At 40.5% G+C, this 25,429-nt stretch overlaps 1 pseudogene across 1 annotated transcript; it reads right to left on the bottom strand.

The window, feature by feature from the left end:
- Positions 1–914: 914 nt before the first annotated feature.
- ZNF285CP (zinc finger protein 285C, pseudogene) lies at positions 915–19,774 on the bottom strand (annotated as a pseudogene). The gene is made up of 4 exons (NR_172491.1): positions 19,666–19,774; positions 15,257–15,314; positions 11,585–11,711; positions 915–4,412 (listed from the first exon to the last, which is right to left on the bottom strand). The product of NR_172491.1 is annotated as a zinc finger protein 285C, pseudogene (transcript).
- Positions 19,775–25,429: the final 5,655 nt, after the last annotated feature.

Here is a 25,429-nt window from a genome sequence, read left to right as displayed (position 1 = left end):
ATATAAATGTACTTAACACTACTAAGCTATACACTTAAAAATGGTTGAGATGGTAAATTTCATGTTATGTATATTTCACCAGTAAAAAATTGTAAAAAGCTGAAAGCATTCCAGGTAGCTCTAGTTTGCCTATGAGATTAAGAGACATTTATTTCCATCAAAAACCAAGGATCTGAAAGTAACCAATTTATGAGCTCACAAGTTAGCCTGACAGTCTCACAGATGCTGGCACAAGACAAAAGACTCCTGGCTCTGAGACAAAGGACTTTATTAGCCACAACCACAGCAGTAGCCAGAGTGTCATTCTTTGCAATGGTTTTTGGCATTCTAATCCCATAGAGTGACATGAAAGGCCAGGTGCCACAGGCCTAGCAGGCTGCATTGTAAGAATAGAACCTTAAGCTTAGGAAACCTGAATCTTTTATGATAGCCCGTGGGAATAAAACCACTGCCCTTCACCCTAGAGGGAGACACTGTCTTCACTAGAGTGGGCCATAAACAAATCTACTGCTCCAGAGGGAGACACTATATTTTTGTTCCCTAACATGCACCTTTGAAAAGACAGTGGGAAACAAAGATGACCAGTGTCTCCACTCAAAGACATGCAGAAAAAGAGAAGTAGATACTTAAGTAACCATAGTGTCTGCAGAAAAATAAAAGAAAAAAAATAAGGGAAGTAGATACAGAGAATGAGTGGGGAATGAGGAATAATAACTAATGTTACATTCTAATTCAAAGCCAGTTGACTTCAGAAGAAAAAGGCCAATTCTGGGGTTACATCTCCTCTGTGAGTGGTATGCTAATAAATGTTTAATAAATGGCTCTCCAGAAAGAAAAGTATGTACATTATAGAAGTTTACTATAAATTTTACTAACATAGAATGTTTTTAGAACACAATTTATAAACAATAATAAAATATGCAGTACTCTTTATTATAAATTACTAATTTAGAAAACCATGTTGAATGAAAAAAAGCCAAATACAAGAGTATCTTACAGTATGATTTCATTTATATAAAGTTCAAGAATAGGCAAAACCAACATATGGTGATAGAAACCAAAACAGTGATTATATCCTTTTTTGGAAAGAAATGAAGGGAAAGGGCACAAGGGAAATTTTGGGGGTAAATAAAATGTTTAACATGTTGAATGGGCATTATTTACAAGGATATGTACATTTGTTAAAACAAATGTAGTTAAAGTCTGCACTTTATGTAAATGATACCTGAACAAAATGAGTTAAAAAAAAGACAAGACAGATCAGACATCTTTGGTAGCTGTTACTATGTGCTTCTATGGGCAGTCTAGTGGAGGCATAGCCACTGATCCCAGTCTGCCGGCTGCATGCTATTTGTATTTATTGCCTGCAATTGTATGAAGAACTAGTGTTAAGTAGCCAGTGAACCCAGCATCAGTTATTAAAATGACTATTATTTCTCCAACATATTTCAAGGCTGATAAACTGACTCACTGTATACATGTGGATCTGTTTTTAGACTCCCTATTCTTTTCCATTGATCTATTTTTTCTCTCCTGAGCTAATACTACACTGTATTAATTATAGAACATTTATAATAAATGTTGATCTCTGGTAGTGTAAGTCCACCAATGTTGCTCTTCATCAAATTTTATCATCACACATAAGGGACTTCTTTTTTTTCTTTTTTTTTTTTTTTTTTTTTTTTTTTGAGACAGAGTCTCTCACTGCCGCCTGGGCTGGAGTGCTGTGGTGCGATCTCGGCTCATTGCAACCTCCACCTCCTGGGCTCAAGCCTCAGCCTCCTGAGTAGCTGGGATTACAGGTGCCTGCCACTATGCCCAGCTAATTTTTTGTATTTTTAGTAGAGACGGAGTTTCACTATGTTGGCCAGGCTGTTCTCAAACTCCTGATCTCATGATTCACCCTCCTCGGCCTCCCAAAGTGCTGGGATTAGGACTAAGTTTTATAGGGAAAACATATAAGCTAAGGGTCTGGAAGAGAACGCACAGGACCACAATTTCTCACGCTACTTGAAGAAGCACCAGGGCCTGGGTGAAGCAGGAGATAGACCACACCTCACCCCTATCTTTTTATCCTTCTTAAAGAGCAATTGTGAAGGCATCCATGTTGGTGAGGGAACAAATTGACTATGCAGGTAATCTGGACTACTTAACTAAAGCAGACAATCTGGCTTTAGTTGTCAGATCAAATGACTAATTGATCTAACAGATTGACTAAAGCAGACAATCTGGCTTTAGTTGTCAGAGCTTCACAGAAGTTGCATGAGAAAGCCAGGTTCTAACACCTCCCATCAGAAAGAGAAAGCCGCTGGGAAGTTGAGCTCATGTAAAGCTTTTCCCACTGAAGAATGTGGGAGTCTGAGGCTCCAGATAGCTCCCCACCTAGGCATCCCAAAGGGAACTCCCAGAATTACCTTTGGACAATTCTGGTCTTTGCACACAATTGTTATTGTGAATGAAACACTTTGGCTACATTTTATAAAAGACTCGTACATAGTAATGCTATGAGTTTTCATGTGCCAATTTTGTATGAAACCAATTTTTTGACGTGATAATTTTAAAACAGACTTCAATTGGTCAAATTTTACAGGCGGATTTGAATTTTATAAGTAAATAACATTATTCTCTAACATAAAAATAGTACCTTCTTTTTCCTTCCAATGATTACATCTCAAAATTTTTTATCTTGTCTTAATCCCACCGCATGAATCTGGGCCAGTGTTGTGACTTGCTTTAATCATTAGAATGTGGTGGAAGTATCATTGAGCCTGTTCTCTGACAAGGCCTTAAGAGATCACAGCTTTTGCTCTTGAAACCCTGGCACTATGGGACCAACCCTAGATTGGTCTTCTGGACGATGAGAGACCATGGTGACAGAGAGAACTTCGTTGTCTCATCTATGACCATCATAAAACAGCCAGGCCCAGATGAGCCATCAGCTGAATGCAGATGCATGTACAAAGCCCAGTTAAGATAATCTAGCATGTCCCACACCAGAACTGCCCAGCTAAGCCCAACTGAACTTGCCAGCTCACACATCATGAGCTAAATAAATTTGTATTTAGAGCTACTCAGTTCTTGTGTGTGTTATGAGGCAGAAGCTGATAAGCATATTTAGGATAAATTATATATGAGCAGAGTCTGTTACGCTTTTATCAAATCATTGGATTTGACATGCTCATATTTATTTAGGATCTCTGCATCTATATTTGTAAATGAGTTGGCTCCCACTGATTGGGAGCTAGACTAATTTCTGCTTTTTCCATGCTACTTTGTTACAAGAGGAAAAGCAAACAATTTTATGAAGTAGGGAGACAATCCTGTTAGCATCATATATTTAAAAAGCTTAATGTGATATGCAAGGGCTGCTCCTGGCCATACTGGAGGATTGCCTGGGACACCTCCACTAAGGCTGAGGGCCGATTCTGTCATGAGGGAATGTTGCACCCATTCTAAACCCCAAAAGCTTCCTGGGATAATGTGTATCCCAGATTTTTTCTCTAACCTACTGTTTGCAAGTAGGAGGACTGGAGTATGTGGTGGACATGGACAATAATATGTGGACATTTTTATAGGTCTAGATCATTGTTGATGGAGCCATGTTATTCCATTATATGGGATGCCCTAATTTACTTAATCTCTTATACATGAAGCTTCAGGTCATTTACGATCTTCTCATTGCAAAATTCTTAGAACATATTTCTTTCTGAAACCATTTTTTTCCACTCATGTAATTACATCCTAAAAATACATTCTGAGAAGCAGGATCATTGGCTCAAAGACAATGCACATTGTACATCTGATACATATAGACAAGATCCTCTCCAGCAACTTTGTACCTGTTTTTTTTCCCCACCAACTTATGTAAGAACACTCATTTCCTCATTTCTACTGACACAGAATTTTTAAAATATTTCACTCTTATCCACCTGCTCAGTAAGAAAATGACACTTCAGGGATGGTTTTATTTGCACTTGAATGGCTGTTCTGTTTACAAACTATAACTGGCAGGAAAATATAATGCAAGAAAAACTAGGAATAAACCATGATCCAAATGAAGAAACTTATAAGTCAATTAAAACAGAAAAGGACATTGTTTTTGAAGAAAAAATAAAAGACATTGTGGGCTGAGTGCAGTGGCCCACACTTGTAATCCCTGCACTTTGGGAAGCTGAGGTAGGAGGATTGCTTGAAACCAGAATAAGACTAACCTGGGCAACAAAGCAAGACCCCATCTCTACAAGTAAATTTTTAAAAGAAAACATTAGCTGAAAGTGGTGGTATATGCCTGTAGTCCCAACTACTCAGGAGGCTGAGGCAGGAGGATCACTTGAGCCCAGCAGTTCAAGGCTTCAGCAGCGAGCCATGATCAGGCCACTGTACTCCAGCCACCTGGGTGACAGAGCAAGACCCTGTTTCCAAAAGAAAAAAAAAAAAGCAATGAGATCTCCTCTCGAATTCATCTATTATCCCCAATTAAATGACAATTTTGGGAGGAAGCTGCTGAGAAGAAGACTGCATCAGTCTGCAATTAACACTGTTGGTTTTTTACATGTTGTTGCTCACTTTCGTAAATGTTAGTTTTATTCAATTAATTTTATTAAGACTAACCACAGAACACCTATTCTAGTTAATTTTTAATCACATTTAAGGTGTGAGCTGACAAACTTATTCAGCTCCCACACTACAGAGTTTCTCTATTGTATGAGATTTCTTACGTCTGTGGGTTGTACTTTTCAGTAAAGTTTTACCACAGCTATATCATCTTGAACATTTCTCTTTGGTGTACACACAAATGAATGAAGGTTATCACTGGAGAAGTCCCATCCATACCATTTTAGATGGTTGCACTGCCACATCAAGCCTTAAAGACTTAAAAGGTTTGAACTCTGAATTACAATGTTGCTTCTGTATGTGGACTCCAATGACAATGAAACATATTGCTATAAAATCCCTCCATGCTAGTCAGGATGGCCTAGGCAATGCTGCAGTAACAAATAAACCACCAAAAATCTCAGTGGTGAGACACAGTGAATTTTTATTTCTTACTCTAAAAAGAAATCCAACACAGATCAGATAGCGACCTTCTATCAATGCAGTCTGGAATAAGCAGCCTCCAAGGTCACCTTGGCAGGAATAGAGAAGCCTGAGGATGTTTATAAAGGCTAGACCTGAAAGTGGCTTATATCACTTTTGCTCATATTCCATTGGCTAGAGCTCAAACATGGGCACACTCTTAACTGCAAGTGTTACTGGGAAATAGAGTCTTCTTATTTGCAAGGAAATGGAACCAGTGTGATAAACACAGCACTGCCTCTGCCACACCCTTCAAATGCCACTTCTGTAGAGCTTCTCGCCTGTGCAGAGAATCTCATGGAAAACTTGAGTACTAATGTTCTTTCATAGTAAGAGCATCAGTTTCATTTCTGAGCACACTTTTGAATGTTCTTCATACAGAGAGTATTTTTCTGTTGGGGACTAAAAAAATCTAAGGACTTTGGCTAAACTGAAGACCTTACCATAATCATCCCAATTAGAATTTCCTTCCTGGACACACCCTTTAATGGAAATTTGACCTCTAACTACAAACACTACCACAAACCACCCATTTGTCAAGAGTAACCTACTTTGCCATTGTAGCATACAGCAGTTGATGGGAGCTTCACAGAAGTTCTTGAAATCCGCAACCCTTGCCTGGCACACTCCAGTGCTGCAGGCTGACATTATCGATGGCAGTGTCCCTGTCTTTTGCTCCCCCAGCCCTCCCACAGGCTGAGTAAGCCTCTATTATCTGGAATACAGTGTGGCTTCTGTTTTCCTAATTTAACCCTGACTTACTACATTTATAATGTTTCTCTCTGCTCATGTAGTCTTTGATGAGTCAGAAGGTCTTTGCCATGCTCACAATGTGTGTACTGTGTCTTATCTATACGCACTCTCTGTTGGGCAAGGAGGTGCGAATTACGACTGAAGCCCTTACCACATGCCTTACACTTACAGGGCCTCTGTCCTCTGTGGACTCTGAGATGAACATTGAAGATCTGAATTCCAACTGAAGCCTTTACCACACTCATCACATTTATATGGTTTCTCTCTTGTGTGATTGCTTTGATGGAAGTGAAAATATGAACTGTAACTAAAGCACTTTCCACACACTTCGCATTTATATGGTTTTTCTGCAGTGTGAACTCTCTGATGAGTGTGAAGAACAGAACTATACCCAAAATCCTTTCCACACACATTGCATTGTATTGTTTCTCCCCTGTGTGGACTCTCTGGTGAATGTGAAGGTGTGTACTTTGGCTGAAGCCCTTTCCACACTCACCACACCTATAAGGTTTCTCCCCTGTGTGAAACCTCCAGTGGACTTGAAGAACGGAGCTTGAACTAAAGCACTTGCCACACTCACTGGATTTGTAGGGCTTCTCTCCAGTGTGGACTCTCTGATGGATAAGAAGGTTGGAGCTCTGTTCAAAGCCCTTCCCACAATCTTCACATTTGTAGGGCTTTTTCCCTGTGTGTACTCCCTGATGAATACAAGGAAGTGACCTAAATCCAAACGCTTTCCCACATACGTGGCATTTGTAGGGCATCTCCCCTGTGTGGACTCGATGATGGTTGTGAAGGGAGGAGTTGCACCTGAAGCCCTTGCCACATTCTTTACATTTGTAGGGATTGTCTCCTGAGGGGACTTTCTGACATCTGGGAAGGTCTGAGCTCTGTTTGCAGCCTGTAGGCCATTCATGGAATTCATAGGGAGTCTCTCCTGAGTGGGTTTTACAATGAACAATAAGATATTGGCTCTGACTTAAGTTCTTTCCATACTGGTCACATTTATAAGATTTTTCTCCTAGATGAGTGCTGTGATGGACACGAGGATCTGTATCATCTGCAAAGGCCACCCCACAGTTATTACATGTGAAAGGCTGTGGTAAAACATGGACCGCATGATGTTGTTCAACTGTTGATTTCATACCCAAGTTTTTCCCACAGTTGGGGTGTCTACCAGGGTCCTCTCCTTTACATTCTTGGGACTCATGATGATCACGTGAGGTCCAATTGAGGCTCTCATCATGCCGAGCATGTCTGTACAATTTCTCTTCCACGTAAATTCCCTTATATCTTCCCTGAGATTTCTGGGGCTCGGTCATTATGTTGGCTTTCCTCCAAGATTCTGGAGTAAGAACCTGTGTCAGGCTTTGCCATGCTGTGATATCTTGATTTTTGATAATGGCATTTACTACATAGTTTTCATTTTCAGAAATCTGAAGAGACATGCCTGCCCACTCTTCACAGAGGGATACATCTTCTAAATGTGGGGAACACTGTTCTTGAAGGTTCATGATATAATCCTGACTCACACTTAAATCCCGGATCCTTTGTTTCCAAATCTTCCAGCAATGAAGCTCTTCTTGAGAAAGGTAAATTAACCCCTTTCCCTGAAGATTCAAAATGTTGTTTTTAATCCCATCTCCCATGAGAAGAAAGAGAATTTGTGAATCACCTGTCCAGAGGTTTTGAGAAAATGAAATATGATGGGGTGGGAAGTTGTCCCTGGCTTCTATTGGCATGGGAAACAGTTAAAGCCACAGTAATTCTAACCTGTGAGCTGCCAATTAGAAATCAAGTATTGTAGGGAAATTAAGAGAAATCTTGGCCAGGTGCAGTGGCTTATGCCTGTCACAGCAACACTTTCAGAGGCTGAGGTGGGAGGATCACTCAAGCTCAGGAGATCAAGACCAGGCTGGGCAGTATGGTGAGATCGCATCTCTACAAAAAAATTGAAAATTGGTTCTGTTTTGCCTATGATCCCAGCTACCTGGAAATCTGAAGTTGGAAGATTGCTTAATCCTGGGACACAGAGGCTGCAGTGATCCAAGATTGTGTCACTGCATTCCAGCCTGGGTGACAGAGCAAGACATTTCCACCCCCACACAGCAAAAAAGAATAAAAGGAAATCTTAGGAAAAATTTATGAAGGAAGAAATTCACCTCCCCCTTATAAGAGTGGTCAATAAAAAGACTTTAATAATCTTGCTACAAAAGGTATGGGAAAGACTCCCATTTTACGTAGTATATGTGTGTATAGAAATAATACATATTGATGGAGTGTTTTTTATATGTTGGGCAGAGTAAGGGACACAAGGGTCACAAGAGGTTTCAGAAACAAGCAAGTCCTATCTCCTGATGGCTTCCCTTCCTTCACATCACTGTCATATGGAGGACTATCATGTATGTTTGTGTACAACCTGCACAACTGTACATGGTGAGCCTTAAGGGGATGGGGATAAAAAGGCAATGGGGATTGAAATAGGGATAAACATTGTGAAACTTGGTCCTGGCGTTGTGCGGGGATGCATATGTAAACCTCTGAGACAAGCTTTAAGAGACATCCTTTTTATTTTCCCCAAGATTCTTTGTCTTCATGAAAAGATAGAGACCACTCAGATACTATAATCCATTTCCTTAAGTTCTGACCTTTTAAGTTATTGCAGAATCTCAAACAGCCATGAATGAGAATGGGGAACAGATACTGTGGCACTGTCAATGGCCTGGCACCCAGGGAAGCAAGACTGTGGTATATAACAAACAGGGGGCTGAGGCAGAAGAGGATGATCATATTTTTGGGACCCTAAGATGGGTTTCAAAATGGCATGAATATCATGGTCAAGTCCCACTGGATACTGCTTCTGGTTCAAGGTCCTTTCTGGGTTGTTTTATTGAAAGTGACTTTAGTTTATAAGATAGTATCAGGGAAAGGGAGACCATGAGCTGCCCCAGATGGGTTTTAAGCAGTGGTTTCCCAATTGTTTTGATTGTAACCCACAATAAAATCAGCATTGTGACTCAGTAGGAATAGGCACGGACATCAACACAGACTGCTCACTAAAACAGAAGTTTTATCAGCTGATACTTACATACGATGTGCAATGCATTTTGATAAATTCTTCTGTTTTCTGCTCTATTAATCTATTTTGCTTTTTAAAAATTGCTAGTTATGACACAGTAATTTGATTTCAGGACTCACCAAGAGGGTTTTATCCTGCAGTTTGAGAAACAACTGCAGGGATATGCAGATTTATGTAGAAGGTCCTGTGTCTACAGATTACACTTTGGTTTAACGAGGTTATTTATTAAAAGCACAGGACCTAGGGCCAGATTAGGAAGGCTCAAATCCTAGTTCTTCTTATAAGCTGTGTAATCATGGGCAAGTTATTAATTCTGTGACTCAGTTGTTTCATCCATTGGTATGGTTTGGCTGTGTCCCCACCCAAATCTCTTCTTGAATTGTAACTCCCATAATTCCCAAGTGTCATGTCCCATAATTCCCACATGTCACAGCCCCCACACAGAGTCCCTAGCAGGGCACTACCTAGTGGAGCTGTGAGAAGAGGGCCACTGTCCTTCAGACAGCAGAATGCTAGATCCGACAGCTTGCACCGTGTGCCTGGAAAAGCCACAAACACTCAACACCAGCCCACAAAAGCAGCCGGAAGGGAGACTATACTCTGCAGAGCCACAGGGGTGGAGCTGCCCAAGACCATGGAAACTCATCTCTTACATCAGCGTGACCAGGATGCAAGACATGGAGTCAAAGGAGATCACTTTCGAGCTTTAAGATTTGACTGCCCCGTTGGATTTCAGACTTGCATGGGGCCTGTAGCCCCTTTGTTTTGGCCAATTTCTCCCATTTGGAACAGCAGCATTTACACAATGCCTGTACCTGCACTGTATCTAGGAAGTAAATAAATTGTTTTTTTATTTTACAGGCTCATAGATGGAAGATACTTGGCTTGTCTCAGATGAGACACTGGACTGTGGACTTTTGAGTTAATGCTGAAATGAGTTAAGACTTTGTGGGACTGTTGGGAGGCATGATTGGTTTTGAAATGTAAGGACATAAGACTTGGGAGGGGCCGGGGTGGGATAATATGGTTTGGCTGTGTCCCCACCCAAATCTCATCTTGAATTGTAACTCCCACAATTCCCATGTGTCATGGGAGGAACCCTGTAGGAGGCGATTGAATTATGGGGCGGGTCTTTCCTGTGTTGTTCTCATGATAGTGAATGAGTCTCATGAGATCTGATAGTTTTTAAAAGGGAGATTCTGAATGGGTACAGTGGCTCACACCTGTAATCCCAGCACTTTGGGAGGCCAAAGTGGGTTGATCACGAGGTCAAGAGATTGAGACAATCCTGGCCAACATGGTGAAACCCTGTCTGTACTAAAAAATACAAAAATTTGCTGGGCATGGTGGTGCATGCCTGTAGTCCCAGATACTGGGTTGGCTAAGGCAGGAGAATTGCCTGAACTTGGTAGTTGGAGGTTGCAGTGAGCCAAGATAGCACCACTGTACTTTAGCCTGGCTACAGAGCCAGACTCTTAAAAAAAAAAAAAAAGGTGGGGGGGTTTCCTGCACAAGCTCTCTTCTCTTGTCTGCCACCATGTAAGACGTGCCTTTCACCTTCCACCATGACTATGAGGCCTCCCCAGGGATGTGGAACTGTAAGTCCAATACATCTCTATCTTTTGTAAATTGCCCAGTCTCAGGTATGTCTTTATCAGCAGTGTGAAAACAGAGTAATACGTCCATAAAAGGGGGATAATAACAATAACTATCTGTATTAGTCCATTCTCATGTTTCTAATAAAGACATACCCAAGACTGGGTAATTTATAAAGGAAAGAGGTTTAATTGACTCATATTTCCATATGGCTGTGGAGGCCTCAAAATCATGGCAGAAGGTGAAGGAAGAGCAAAGGTACATCCTACATGGTGTCAGTCAAAGAGAAAGCCTGTGCAGGAGAACACCAATTTATAAAACCATCAAATCTCATGAGACTTGTCACTCTCATAAGAACAGCATGAGAAAGACCCCTGCCCCATGATTCAGTTACCTCCTACCGGGCCCCACCTACAACATGTGGGAATTATGGAAACTACAATTCAAGATGAGACTTGGGTAGGGATATAGCCAAACCATATCTCTATCTCATAAACCTAGGTAGCACATAACTGTATATGAACCTCTGAGAAATGAAAATGAGGTTAGATATTTATCAAAAAGTAATCAAATAAGCCAACACTTAGATTACACTTACTACATACCAGTAAGTGTTGGCTATTGTAACTGCCAACCAAATCAAAGTTCTCCCTTTGTTCCTTTAACACTGATTTATCCAAAACATTGGATAAACATTGATTTTTCTCCAGAAGCATCCAATAGATCAGGGCTCTTGGTGATGTGTGAATTTTATGTCTCATTCTGAGAAATATGAGGAAAGAATGAGAGCCTAAATGTGTGATTAGGGGAGGGAGGGATTACTGCCTGCATTGAATGCCCACAGGCCAGGGGTATGAGATTTGGGGAGAGCTCCCTCACAAATCCATCACAAGGGGCCAGATCCTCACATTGATCTGTAAAAGCTCATTAACTGCAGGGTTCTAACCTGCACATGCATCTCTTGGGTGTTTTCTTTCCAGTGGTCAAAGTTTATCTTTGTGATCTAACTGGAGTTTTCTATGTGGTTTGAAATGATGATTTCAGGACACAGGTCCAGTGGTCTGATGCTCAGTTACTCACCCACTGAGATGAAGTTCCTGAAGTTTTCCAGCATCACGTCTTGGTACAGGTTTATCTGGGCTTTATCCAATACTGCCAGCTCTTCCTTGGTGAAGATAACAGCTATGTCCTTGAATGTCACCCTTTCCTAAAACATCAACCACATGCCACGTCAATCATCCACACAAATGACTGGTCTTAGTCTGTTTGGGCTGCCTTAATAAAATACCACAGTCTGATTAGGTTAAACAAAATAAACTAACTTCTTACTTTTCTGGAGGTTGGAAAGTCTAAGATCAAGTACCACCAAGATAGGTTTCATTCAGGTTTCTTCTCTTGGCTTGTAGACAGCTGTCCTCTCACTGTGTCCTTACATGGCAGAGGGAGAATGAGAGCAAGCTCTGTTGAGGCTGTCTCATAAGGACATTAATCCTATTGGATCAGGGATTCCCAAAGGACAATATTAATCAAATTATAAAATATGGCCCAGGAAATAGGCACAGATAAATCTATACTAAGGTGTTGTGCTGATACACAAGTCTAGTACTGTTCCATGAGTTCATTTCTCATCACACACCAAGATTTGGTATTTTCACTTTTTCATGGCAGATTAATCTATTTGTATCATGTTAAAAGGAACTAAGAAGACAGGGTAACAAAAGCCTGACTCCCAGATTCAAAAAACACAGTAGAGAAAAGGGAGATTATTATCATAATTAAGAACACTTGGATATCAACTAGGTATTAAAAAATAGTGGTATCAACGTGAAATTTCTTGAGTATGTTAGCAGTAACGTGGAAATGTAGGAAAATGCTCTTACTCTTAGGAGATACAAGCTGAAATATTTAGGGATGAATTATAATCATGCCTGCAATATATCCCCAACTGGGTCATCAAAATAAAATATAGATATGTGTGTGTATATATGTATATTATGCATATGTTTATGGGTGATTGTTAACAATTGGTGAATCTATGTGAAGATTACACATTATGCTATTCTTTCATTTTCCTGATAAATTGAAATTTCTCAAAATAAAATGATGTGGGGATTAATCTCATATTAATAACCATCTCCTAATCAAGAAAACAATTTTTACATAAAATATTTCTATTGCTGCATATATCACACTGCTCAGAGTTAAGTATTTACAGATATGTTCTCTCAATAGACTCTGCATCTCTAAATAATGCAGAGCTTTCAAATGAAAGTTGTAAGCAGTTACAAAGGACTTCACAAAGAATATGTTCCTAACAATTGTCCAATTACCAAAATCTGACAATGATTAAAAACAAAATCTAGGGGAGTCAGCACGGTTGTCCTAATAGCATCACTCTCTCAGTAACACTACTGTATGCCTTCTTCTGTGGGAGGCAACAAAATTGAATTGGAGTTAATCATTCAGGAAATACAGATACCCTGAAGTCTGCTTGGGGTGTTCCAATGTAGGGAGAAGGGGTTAGGAATAGAGGTTCACCCAGCCTACACCCCATTCTCCCTTCTCTGCCTCAACTATAGAGCCTGGGAAAACAAAACACTCATTTCTCCACCACCCTTGTAGCTGGATGGATGCCTTGTAGGAATCCTAGGCAGCGATTGTCATAGGATGCAGATACAAGGACAGCCCCAAAATATTAAGAAACCAAATTTTTCAACGAATAAACACTTGCAAAAACCTATAAATATTTTCCTCTCTGAAGTATTCTTGTATAACCATCTATGAAGTATTCTTGTAAAACCTTGAACCTGAATCTATTCAAGCATCTGGTGCTTCCACTTACAAGAAATACTATGGATAGAGTAACACATTGAAAGACACCAAAAGGAAGCAAACAAATGCATTCCAAATGTAGGAAAGAACACAGGACACCAAACTTGGTTTCTACAAGTCAATAGCAGGAGAGAATAAAGTAGAGGGGCAGATTTCTCTAGATTAAAAGAGATTATGAGACACAACCACCAACTATATGATAGTATAGACCTTTGGTAAGATCCCATTTGAACAAACCAACTGTCAAAAATTTTTTGAGATAATCAGGGAAACTTGGTTATTGTCTGGGTATTAGATAATACCAAATAATTATTGATTATCTCATTAGTCAGTTTTTAAGGAAATATATACTGAAATACATAGAGAATGTAGTAAATTAGATTGCTGTTTAGAAATATCCTCTTCCATGCTCACCAATCCCACTAAAGGACCAGAGTGTGTTTTCTTACCCCTTTAGTTTTGACTTGGCAATGTAACTTTCTCTGGCTACCAAAATGAAGCAGAAGTGAGAATGTGCCATTTCTAACCTGGGCCTTGACAGATCTCACGTGTTCACTTGCTCTCTTGTCCCTCTGTCTTCACTATGAGGACACACCCAAGCTAACCAAAACCAGCAGAGTGCTACCAAATACTCATGGTATTGGCTTTAGGTCCAGGCCATAACAATTGAGGACACTGTTATAGGAGGCTGGAAAAATGGTGACCTGGGTGATGTAGTGGTGAACACTTGGTAAATTGTTGCTGTAATTTGGAAGATAGAAAATGTACCTAATGAATCTTGGACTTGGGCAAGATGGTTTCCAGGCAGAAGGATAAAAGTGTGAGCTCATTCATTTTAGCTGCATATATAATAAGGTACTATACAAAAGTGATGTGCTCAGAGAAAAACCAATACAGTGTAAATACCATGCCTCTTTCAAATACTCTGGGAAAGAAAAAACTGAAAAAGAGAGTAAGCAAATCCCTTCGGCAATAAGTTAATTGTTGAAACTGCATGATGGGTACTGCAAATGGAGCCTCATAATACCATTTGTTCTTTTTGTGTATTTTCATAATTAATTTTTTTCATGATTAAAAGAAAATCCTTCCTCCACACTGTGACGGTCTTTTTAATATGGCAACTTGGCTAAGCTATGGTCCTCAGTTATTGAATCAAACACTAATCTAGGTATTGCTATGAAGATAATTTGTAGATGTGATTAAAGTCCATAATCAGTTGACTTTAAGGGAGATTATTCTAACTAATCTGAGTATGTCTGACTCAAAAAACTGAACGGTCTTATGAGCAGAGCTGAGGCTTCCCTGGGAGGGGGAGAAATTCCACCCATAGACAGCAGCTTCAGTCTGTGTCTAAGAGTTCTGGCCCACCCTTCCTGAGGGACTGCCCTGTGGATTTTGGACTTGCCTAGTTAGCCCCCATAATCATATAAATCAATTCCTTATGATAAATCTCTTAATATATATCTCTTACTGGTTCTACCTTGCTGGTTGAACTCTGACCAAATACATACCCATTCAAATCTTGTTACTTATCAAACGAGACCAGTGACATTTAGAGTATGGTCATGTATATGCTGCCCATGCACTCAGATGCTGCGGCAACACCAAATTGCTATAAAAGCTTCTGAACTTAGTCTTGATTCTTTTTCCCTCATGGGGCAGTGATAAGCAGTTCATGGACTGGTACTGGTACATGAACCACACTTAGAGTAGCACCAAAGTAGACATCTTGAAATCTGTGAGTTTGTTTCTTCACTTCTATAAAGGAAGTCAAACCACCTGCCTCACAAAGTCATTATGAGCAAGATGAAGTACCTAATACATAGTAGTCACTCAAAAAATGCTGACCTTTCAGAAAACAGAAGTGCTGGTTCCTCAGAATGAACAGTATATTTAAAGAGAAAGAAACCCTTAACTTACCTGGAACTTAATCATACCGTCTTCCTTTTGGAAAGGGCAGGATTCTGGAAAAGCAGAACTGCAAAGAAGAAAGAATCCATGAGATCATGGATTCAACAAGTTATAAATGAACATTGGTTCCTTCCTTATCTGTACAAATTTCTCACAATTTCTTCTCTCCCTAGATATCATCTCTTCTCATTCTGAACAGACTGAACTCCCACCTCCTCAAGACTTCCCTAGATTTGTCCCCAGTCCCTCAATCTCAGACCACTATGTAACTCCTATCTCTCTCCTCAAGCTTTTGGGTCAAAACCTGCACATTCTTTTCCTTTTCTCAGACTTGTGAATGAACTGACATAATCTACATCTGAATTATGCTGGAAAAGAGGCCCCAGAATTGCTGAGTAAGGGAGCAATCTCAGGGCTGGGCACAGTGGCTCACGCCTGTAATCCCCAGCACTTTGGGAACCCGAGACAGGTGGATCACTTGAGGCCAGGAGTTCGAGACCAGCCTGGCCAACATGGTGAAACCCTGTCTCTACTAAAAATACAAAATTAGCTGGGCTTGGTGGCGGGCACCTGTAATCCCAGCTACTCAGGAGGCTGAGGCAGGACAATCACTTGAACCTGGGAGGCAGAGGCTGCAGTGAGCTGTGCTTGCACCACTGCACTCCAGCCTGGGCAACAGAGACAGACTGTCTCAAAAAAAAAAAAAAAGGAAAAAAAAGAGAGAGCAATCTCAGGATGACAGGGACCTTCTGCTATTTCCACTTTCACATGCAAGACTTGATCTTGTATGGCCAGGCCTGTGGTCTAAAGAACTTGCGATTAGCCAAGATATACAAATTAAATCCCAATTTTTATTATTATGTTAATCAATAATACAAATTTTTAAACATCTACACCTTGACTCTTGGCTTCCTAAACTGTCTCTCCAGCACCCATTTTATCCCTTGCTTTTGCAAATATTGATGACACACTTATGACATGTAAGACACATCCTCTGCTCTGGAAATGCTCACAGTATACTGAACTATACATGTTCTCAGACTGCACGTAGACCAAAGTAGATAGATAGACCTTCTAAGCTTGCCACTTCATATACACTAAAGTCCCTTCCTGTTCTGCTTATATCAGTGGATGCCCTTGCCAATTAGCTTCCAGTTGGGTTCAGCCAATGGGGAAAGCCAGCAAGAGATCCAGGGAAGGGACAAGAGTGAAGTCAGAATATTTATTCCCCCAGGTTTTTCCCTAGAGGTTGCTGTGGAATGGCTATGCTCCATATTCATTGACCAAAGGTCATGGCCACCATCAGGCAGCTGTCATCCCATAAATCTTTCTTCACATTTTAGTGACTGCCTCCTCCCTTAGCCCTTCAGTCCTAAAGGCAGTAAGTTACCCTGCTATCACTAGCTCTGAAATATTGCAATACCCTTTGTTGATTACCACAGCCTGCCTACAACTTTATAGATTGTCCCTTTATTAAGCTCTTCTCAAATTACCCAATTTGAGTGTTCTGTTTATTTTTTATTGGGATTCCATCTGGTAAACCCTGTAAGCACAATTGCCTCTCGCCTTTGTGGGGAAACTTACTGTATAAAATTGCCACTTTAAGCACTGTGTAAACTCCAAAGATTAAAAAATAAAAGCCAAAAACCACGTTTCTGCCTTCTCAGATAGTGCTTCTCACACTATCTGTGATAAAGGACTAGTTTTTATATTATTATTACCGTTACTTTCAGTCTGTCACAGACTGATATTTTGGTAAGATACAGTAAAAAGAAATTACTGGAAAAAGGAAATAAAGAAGGTATGCAAATTAAAGCCCAATTGTTATTATTATATTAATCAATAAGACAAAATTTTAAACATCTACAATCAAGTTCTCAAATTATCTGGTCACAGACCAATATCATTTATTGGCACTGGTCTGTTGGTTACCCTTTGAATTGCAGCTTACAGGGTTATAGAATCAGGTTAATAGAATATGAAATGTCTTTTTGGTAAATCCTCGGACTCTTTTTCTCTCCTTTAATACCTTTAAGAGACATCATTAATCACTTCTTATTTTGGGCTCCAACAAAGGCCAAAATAAGGAATGTTCAACTTATTAATACAGCATGAATTACATCATTTTACAATAGTTAAAACCTACCAAGGAAACACTCCTCCTTTCCCCTGTCAAAAAACTACAAATCCTAAAAACAAAACAAAAAAAAAAAAAACAAGCTGTAGTCTTTTATCCACTGTACTTGCTAAGGATCTTATCATTTAACAAGCACTCAATCAATGTTTCTTAATATTAACAAATGAACAAATAGAATTGGCTTGGATATTATACATTATACGCACGCGCAAAGACATAAACTCGCCCTCTACTTCTAGTACCTGTTCTCACTTAAGAGCCAATGATGGGACAGGTTTATTTTCAAGCACACATCTACACACATGCAGTCACACATATATGGTTGAGGGTTTGGTTTCCTGAATTTCTGGCTTCAGACACTCCCTGCCTGTATCAACTATGGGCCATGGCAGGAACCAGATGGCACATTCAAATTTGAGGGGAGTTTAATAAACAGACGGCTTACGATGGTGTTGGCTGGGGGTAAGGAAATCAGAGTGGATAAGGCTCTATCCTGGGAAGTGACAGGAGGTGCCATTATAATACCTGGGCCTTAAGAGGTAAGGGGAGGGAGCAGTCCCTGGAGCCTGGAACTGAGAGGACTGTGTGGCCAGGGCCACCCAAACCATGACCTGTTGTTTAGAAGGGCAGCTAATCTGTGACAATCCTGCAGAGAGAGAACTGGGGGACAAGATCCTCCAACTCACACTTCTTCCTCTCTCCAAACTTTCCTGTTGAGACTTCCCACTGGCCAAAGACAAGCAAGGCCAGAAGGCAATGGTGGCCTTTCAGGGCAGACAGCAGGGTGGAAAAGGTGGGGAGCCAAAGGCATGGGACACATAGCACCTCAGGACTCTTGTTTTTTCCCTATCTGCCAAAGTCCACACAGCTCTCTCACACAAATGCCTTTCTCATCCCTCAAACTGACAACTACTCTGATCTGAGGAATACATCAGGAATGAGACCAGATGCCCATATCAACCTCTTCAGGGAATGAAGACCTAGAGGAAAAGTGCAGCTGAATCTGGAACTGCAATTGTCCAGAAACACGATCAGAAATGTAATAAATGCTGCTATTACACCTAAAATAATTAACACTAAATCTCTAACTTTATCAAATATACAGAGAGCATTCAAACTTCAAATTTGGTGAGTGTAATTTAACAACTTACATTTGCTCGTGTGCTTTATAATACTCAAATTCCGTACTCCCTGGCTCACAGCATGTGAGGTGAGAATGGAGTTAATAATTTGGGGCAGTTCTTTTATTTTCTTTCTTTCTTTCTTTTTTTTTTTTTTTTTTTGAGACAGAGTCTCGCTCTGTCGCCCAGGCTGGAGTGCAGTGGCGCGATCTCGGCTCACTGCAAGCTCTGCCTCCCGGGTTCACACCATTCTCCTGCCTCAGCCTCCCGAGTAGCTGGGACTACAGGTGCCTGCCACCATGCCCGGCTAATATTTTGTTATTATTATTATTTTTTTTTTAATTAGAAACGGGGTTTCACCGTGTTATCCAGGATGGTCTCGATCTCCTGACAATAGGTGCCTGCCACCATGCCCGGGTGGAACTACAGGTGCCTGCCACCATGCCCGGCTAATTTTTTGTAATTTTTTTTTTTTTTTAGTAGAGACGGGGTTTCACCGTGTTAGCCAGGATGGTCTCGATCTCCTGACCTCGTGATCCACCCAAAGTGCTGGGATTACAGGAGTGAGACACCGCGCCAGTCCTGGGGCAGTTCTTTTCAAAATGTGTTCGGTGACATTAAACTCCAGAGTTTTTACAGTCTGAGTTGTTTCTTTATTGCCAGAAGCCGGAACCTCTGCCCTGAAGTCAGAAATGCCCCAGTGGAGTCAGAGCTGCCAAAATCCAGAGTTCAGACCCAAGACAACTCCCCATCCAAGAACCTAGGGGTGCTGAGCCAGAATCGCCCCCACCAAACTGAGCGAGAATAGCCCAAGCCATCCTCTATCTCCAGAGACAAGCTGCTTAAGCAAATCCCTCATCCCATTCAGGGAGGCACAGCCCCAGCCATTACTCCCAAACCCTGAGCCAGCGCCCCTCTGCCCTCATCCAGGGATGCACATTCCAAGACTGACCCTAAGCCTCGACCCAAGGTGGCACAGCGCAAGTCGCTGTCACGAAACGTGAAGATGCACGTTTTGTCAAACCCAGGGCTGCTCCCCAAACTGAGCCCAAGCGCTTCCCATTCCATCCCGGGTAGATAGGGGCTGCTGAACTTCCCCAGCCTACCCCACCCACGAGGCCTTTTCATTGGTCACCAGTCCCCTCCTCCACTCCTCCTACTTCAGTCCACAGGGACGGGTCACAGCTGCACATCCTACACCCCTACTCCTGGCTACACTTCCGAGAGGGGCGCGGTCCAGCCGGGACTCAACCCAGCATTCCAAACAATGTCGCCCCTAGCTTGCGTCTGGTACCACGCGCTTGCGCAAGGAGGCCTATGGACTACAATCCCCAGAAAGCCCCACTCGCAGCAGTGGCCATTCGCAAGGCTACCCGGGTGAAGGTAGCCTTTGACGTCCGTGCATTTGGAAGTCCTTTGACTTCGTGCATTCGTCTAAAATAATGACAATCATAATAACGATAAAGTAATGAAATGTTAAATCACTATCAACGATGAAAAGAAAAAGTTTCAATATTTTACTACTTGGAAATGAGCACTTTACCATTTTAGTGAAGACTTTTACAGGTTCTTATTTTATAGGCATGTCTTTTAATGTTAAAACCACGAAACTTTTCAATTAAAATTCACTTAAATAGTTCCATCCCCGCCCCACACCATGTTTTGTTTCTGTTGATGAAGACACTGCATAATCTACACTTGCGATATAACATAGCCCTGTAATTTTTTTCCTAGTCTCAGAAGAAGCAGAATGAATTAACAACCATTGACTGAATCCTTAATAGGGGAATTGCAGGAGTACTCATTACAACATAACAAGAAAACGCGGGAAGTTTTCAGATTATTTTTGAAAATTTCCCCTTGTTGGGACTTAGGCTTTATTTTACTTTATGTTATTGCATTTAAGATTTAAGATCATTAAAAAGTCAGGAAACAACAGGTGCTGGAGAGGATGTGGAGAAATAGGAACACTTTTACACTGTTGGTGGGACTGTAAACTAGTTCAACCATTTTGGAAGTCAGTGTGGCGATTCCTCAGGGATCTAGAACTAGAAATACCATTTAACCCAGCAATCCCATTACTGGGTATATACCCAAAGGATTTTAAATCATGCTGCTATAAAGACACATGCACATGTATGTTTATTGTGGCTCTATTCACAATAGCAAAGACTTGGAACCAACCCAAATGTCCAACAACGATAGACTGGATTAAGAAAATGTGGCACATATACACCATGGAATACTATGCAGCCATAAAAATGATGAGTTCATGTCCTTTGTAGGGACAGAGATGAAACTGGAAACCATCATTCTCAGCAAACTATAGCAAGGACAAAAAACCAAACACCGCATGTTCTCACTCATAGGTGGGAATTGAACAATGAGAACACATGGACACATGAGGGAGAACATCACACACCAGGGCCTGTTGTGGGGTGGGGGGAGGGGGGAGGGATAGCATTAGGAGATATACCTAATGCTAAATGCGTGCAGCACACCAACATGGTACATGTATACATATGTAACGAACCTGCACGTTGTGCACATGTACCCTACAACTTAAAGTATAATAATAATAAAATTAAAAAAAATTAAGATTTCTATTAAAGACAATTTTGTGTACTCTAATGGGGTGGGAAAATTGAATAAGAATTCCATTAGAGACCCACAGTTTTAGCCTGGAGGAAAGCCCTGATAATGGGTGAGAACAATCTCTCTCCTAGGAATGGTCACCTGGTCCTGCTGGTAGAGGCTCTGTTTGGAATATCTGGCTGGCATTCCGTTTTCCATGCACCCTCAAGCTGTAGGGGTCGTGAGGCAGTTCCAGTCCTAGATTAGACAGAGAAGTGAAGACCCCTACCTCTAGGCAATGGGCAGGAAATGGTTGAATAATATCCAACTATAGCTTGACATTGCAACTTAGGGCACATAAAGGGACAGTGCAATTCTTTTGGCTTATTTCTGTCTTTTGATGTTTACATGTTTGATGTTCTTATATATTGCTCTAAGTTGAAGGATTACTTGATTTAATTTGACATACTTGAATTTTAAAAAGCGAGTTCAGGAACATTTTTATTTTTGATCTAATACAATGTTAATTTTTGTGACATCTGTGTCTATTGGAAAACAATGCGTTTTCTCTATCAGAGGGATATGCATACATTTATATTTTCACCAGACTTGTTAATTGTGCTATTTAAATTTCCTACATGCTTATTTATGCTTACTTAGATTTTTTCATTATGCATCTGTCAATGATTGAAAAGTTCATGTCAAAAAGGCTCGCAGGCTGGGCGTGGTGGCTCAAGCCTGTAATCCCAGTACTTTGGGAGGCCGAAGTGGGCAGATCACGCGGTAAGGAGTTCAAGACTAGACTGGCCAGGATGGTGAAACCCCGTCTCTACTAAAAGTACAAAAATTAGCCAGGCATGGCGGCAAACACATGTAGTCCCAGCTACTTGGGAGGCTGAGGCAAGAGAATCGCTCGAACCCGGGAGGCGGAGGTTGCAGTGAGCGAGATCGTGCCACTGCACTCCAGCCTGGGTGACAGAGCGAGACTCTGTCTCAAAAAAAAAAAAAAAAAAAAAGAAAGAAAGAAAGAAAGAAAAATTAAAAAAAAGTCTATAATGGTATATTTGTCATTTTCCTCTCTATAGCATTTGCTTTATTTATTTATTTATTTATTTATTTATTTATTTATTTATTTATTTTTGAGACTGAGTCTCGCTCTGTTGCCCAGGCTGGAGGGCAGTGGCGCCATCTCAACTCACTGCAAGCTCCCCCTCTCAGGTTCATGCCATTCTCCTTCCTCAGCCTCCCGAGTAGCTGGGACTACAGGCGCCCGCCACCACGCCCAGCTGATTTTTTTGTATTTTTAGTAGAGACAGGGTTTCACCGTGTTAGTCAGGATGGTCTCCATCTCCTGACCTTGTGATCTGCCCGCCTCGGCCTCCCAAAGTGCTGGGATTACAGGCATGAGCCACCGCGCCCAGCCTACTTCATTTTTCAAAAGTCGTGTTATTAGGTATACAAGCGGCTTTACATTTTAAAAGTTGTGTTATTAGGTATGGAAGTGGTCTGTTCCTTATCTGAAACACTTGGGACCAGAAGTGTTTCAGATTTTTTATTTTTTTCAGATTTTGCAATATTTGCATATGCATAATGAGATATCTTGAGGATGAGACCCAAGTCTAAACGCAAAATTCATTTGCGTTTCCTATACACCTTATACATGTACCCTGAAATTAATTTTATAGAATTATTTGATTAATTTTGTTCACAAGGTTTGTATACAATGTTTGTGTGCATTGAACCATCAGAAGCAAAGATTGCCTTCGTCAGATGACCAAAGAAAAATCAATTAATGAAAAGAAGAGAAAGAAAGCAAATATTTCAGGTGTGGAAATTTTCTTTTGTGGTGTCATGTTCACATTCCAAAAGTTTCGGATTGTGGAACATTTTGGATTTTAAAATTTAGTGATGCTGACCCTGTGTAAGTTTCATAATGGTCATATCTTCTTGATGGACCAAAAATGTCATTAACATTTTAAGTACTTTGTATTTTCACCTTGAGTTTACTTTTCAGTGCCGACTGTACCTGCTTTCTTTTCATTAGATTTCCTCTAGTATTTATTTTTTCACTTTCTCGTAAAATTAGCATTTTTTATCTTATTATTTATATACTCTTTATTATTATAGTTATTTTTAAATGTTACTTTTACCTAATCTAAGAGCTTGTCTTTAGTCTGAAAATACACACTTAAATGGGTGTGTTAGGAACAAAAGACAAAGTGCTGGAATAATTGATCTAGGAGCTGCTTCTAATTCCCAACTATAGAACAGTGACTCTGGCCTGTAATCCTAGTTGATCAAGCAGCTGTGGTGGGAGGATGGCTTGAGCCTGGAAGGTTCAGGGTGCAGTGGACAATGATGGTGCCACTGTACTCCAGCTTGGGTGACAGCATGAGATTTTATGTCTAAAAAAAGAAAAAGAAAATGAAAAAGTAGAACAGGGACCCTCAAAGAGGAAGGAAATAGCCCCCCTAAGACTCTTTTGAATTGTGTGGGTGATCTTTGCTTGCTCCAGTGACTGGGGTATGAGTTTAGTATGCAGAGGTAAGGAATGCTAAACATATTGCATCTGTAAATTAATTATCTCAACAAAGAAGTCATCCATTCAAAACACCCAACAGTAACACCTTGAAAATCACTGCTCTAAAGGAAAGAAAATGAACAACAACAACCTCAATCAAACAAAAGGAGGGAAAGAAACGATCGAATCAGTAAAGAGAAAGTGAAACTGCTGCTGTTTGCTGATGATATGATCATATACATAGAAAACCCTAAAGACTCCTTCAAAAAGCTTCTAGAACTCATAAATGAATTCAGCAAAGTTTCAGGATACAAAATTAATGTACACAAATCATAACTCTGCTGTACACCAACAGCAACCAAGCTAAGAATGAAATTAAGAACTGCAAAAAAAAAAAAAAATACTTAAGAATATTTCTAACCAAGGAGGTGAAAGACCTCTACAAGGAAAACTATAAAACACTGTTGAAAGAAATCATAGATGACACAAACAAATGGAAACACATCCCATGTTCATGAATGGGTAAATCAATATTGTAAAAATGACCATACTGCCAAAAGTTGTTTACAAATTCAATGCAAGTTCCATCAAAATACCACCATCATTTTTCCCAGAACTAGAAAAGACAATTCTAAAATTCATATGGAACCAAAGAAGAGCCCGCAGAACCAAAGCAAGGCTAAGCAAAAAGAACAAATCTGGAGGCATCACATTACCTGACTTCAAACTATACCATAAGGCTGTAGTCACCTGAACAGCATGGTACTGGTATAAAAATAGGCACAAAGACCAATGGAACAGAATACAGAACCAAGAAATAAATCCAAATACCTACAGCCAACTGATATTTGACAAAACAAACAAAAACATAAAGTAAGGAAAAGACCCCCTATTCAAGTCGGGTGCAGTAGCTCACGCCTGTAATCTCAGCACGTTGGGAGGCTGAGGCAGGTGGATCACAAGGTCAGGAGATGGAGACCATCCTGGCTAACATGGTGAAACCCCGTCTCTACTAAAAATACAAAAAATTAGACTGGTGCGGTGGCGGGGGCCTGTAGTCTCAGCTACTCGGGAGGCTGAGGCAGGAGAATGGATTGAACCAAGGAGGTGGAGCCTGCAGTGAGCCGAGATCCCGCCACTGCACTCCAGCCTGGGTGACAGAGCAAGACTCCGTCTCAAAAAGAAAAAAAAAAAAAAGACACCCTATTCAAACAAATGGTGCTGGTGTAATTGGCAAGCCACATGTAGAAGAATGTGAATGGATCCTCATCTCTCACCTTATACAAAAATCAACTCAAGATGGATCAAAAACTTAAAACTTGAAACCATAAAAATTCTAGATGATAATTCAGAAAAACCCTTCAAAACATTAGCTTAGGCAAAGACTTGATGACCAAGATCCTAAAAGCAAATTCAATAGAAAAAATGATAAATAGGTGAGACTTAATTTAAGTAAAAAGTTTCTGCACAGCAAAAGAAACACTGAGCAGATTAAACAGACAACCCACAAAGGGGGAGAAAATCTTCACAATCCATACATCTGAAAAAGGATGAATATCCAGAATCTAGAAGGAACTCAAACAAATTAGCAAGAAAAATACGAAGAATCCCATCAAAAAATGGGCTAAGGACATGAATAGACAATTCTACAAAGAAGATATACAAATAGCCAACAAACATATGAAAAAATGCTCAACATCACGAATGATCAGGGAAATGCAAATCAGAAACACAATGCAATACCACCTTTCAGCTGCAAGAATGGCCATAATAAAAAATTTAAAAAATAATAGATGTTGGTGGGGATGGGCTGAAAAGGGAACACTTTT

Source organism: Homo sapiens, chromosome 2, assembly GCF_000001405.40.
Source record: "Homo sapiens chromosome 2, GRCh38.p14 Primary Assembly".
Classification (NCBI taxonomy): Eukaryota; Metazoa; Chordata; class Mammalia; order Primates; family Hominidae; genus Homo; species Homo sapiens.
Note: the sequence above shows the minus strand (reverse complement) of the source record. Positions and strands in the feature narration are given on the sequence as shown.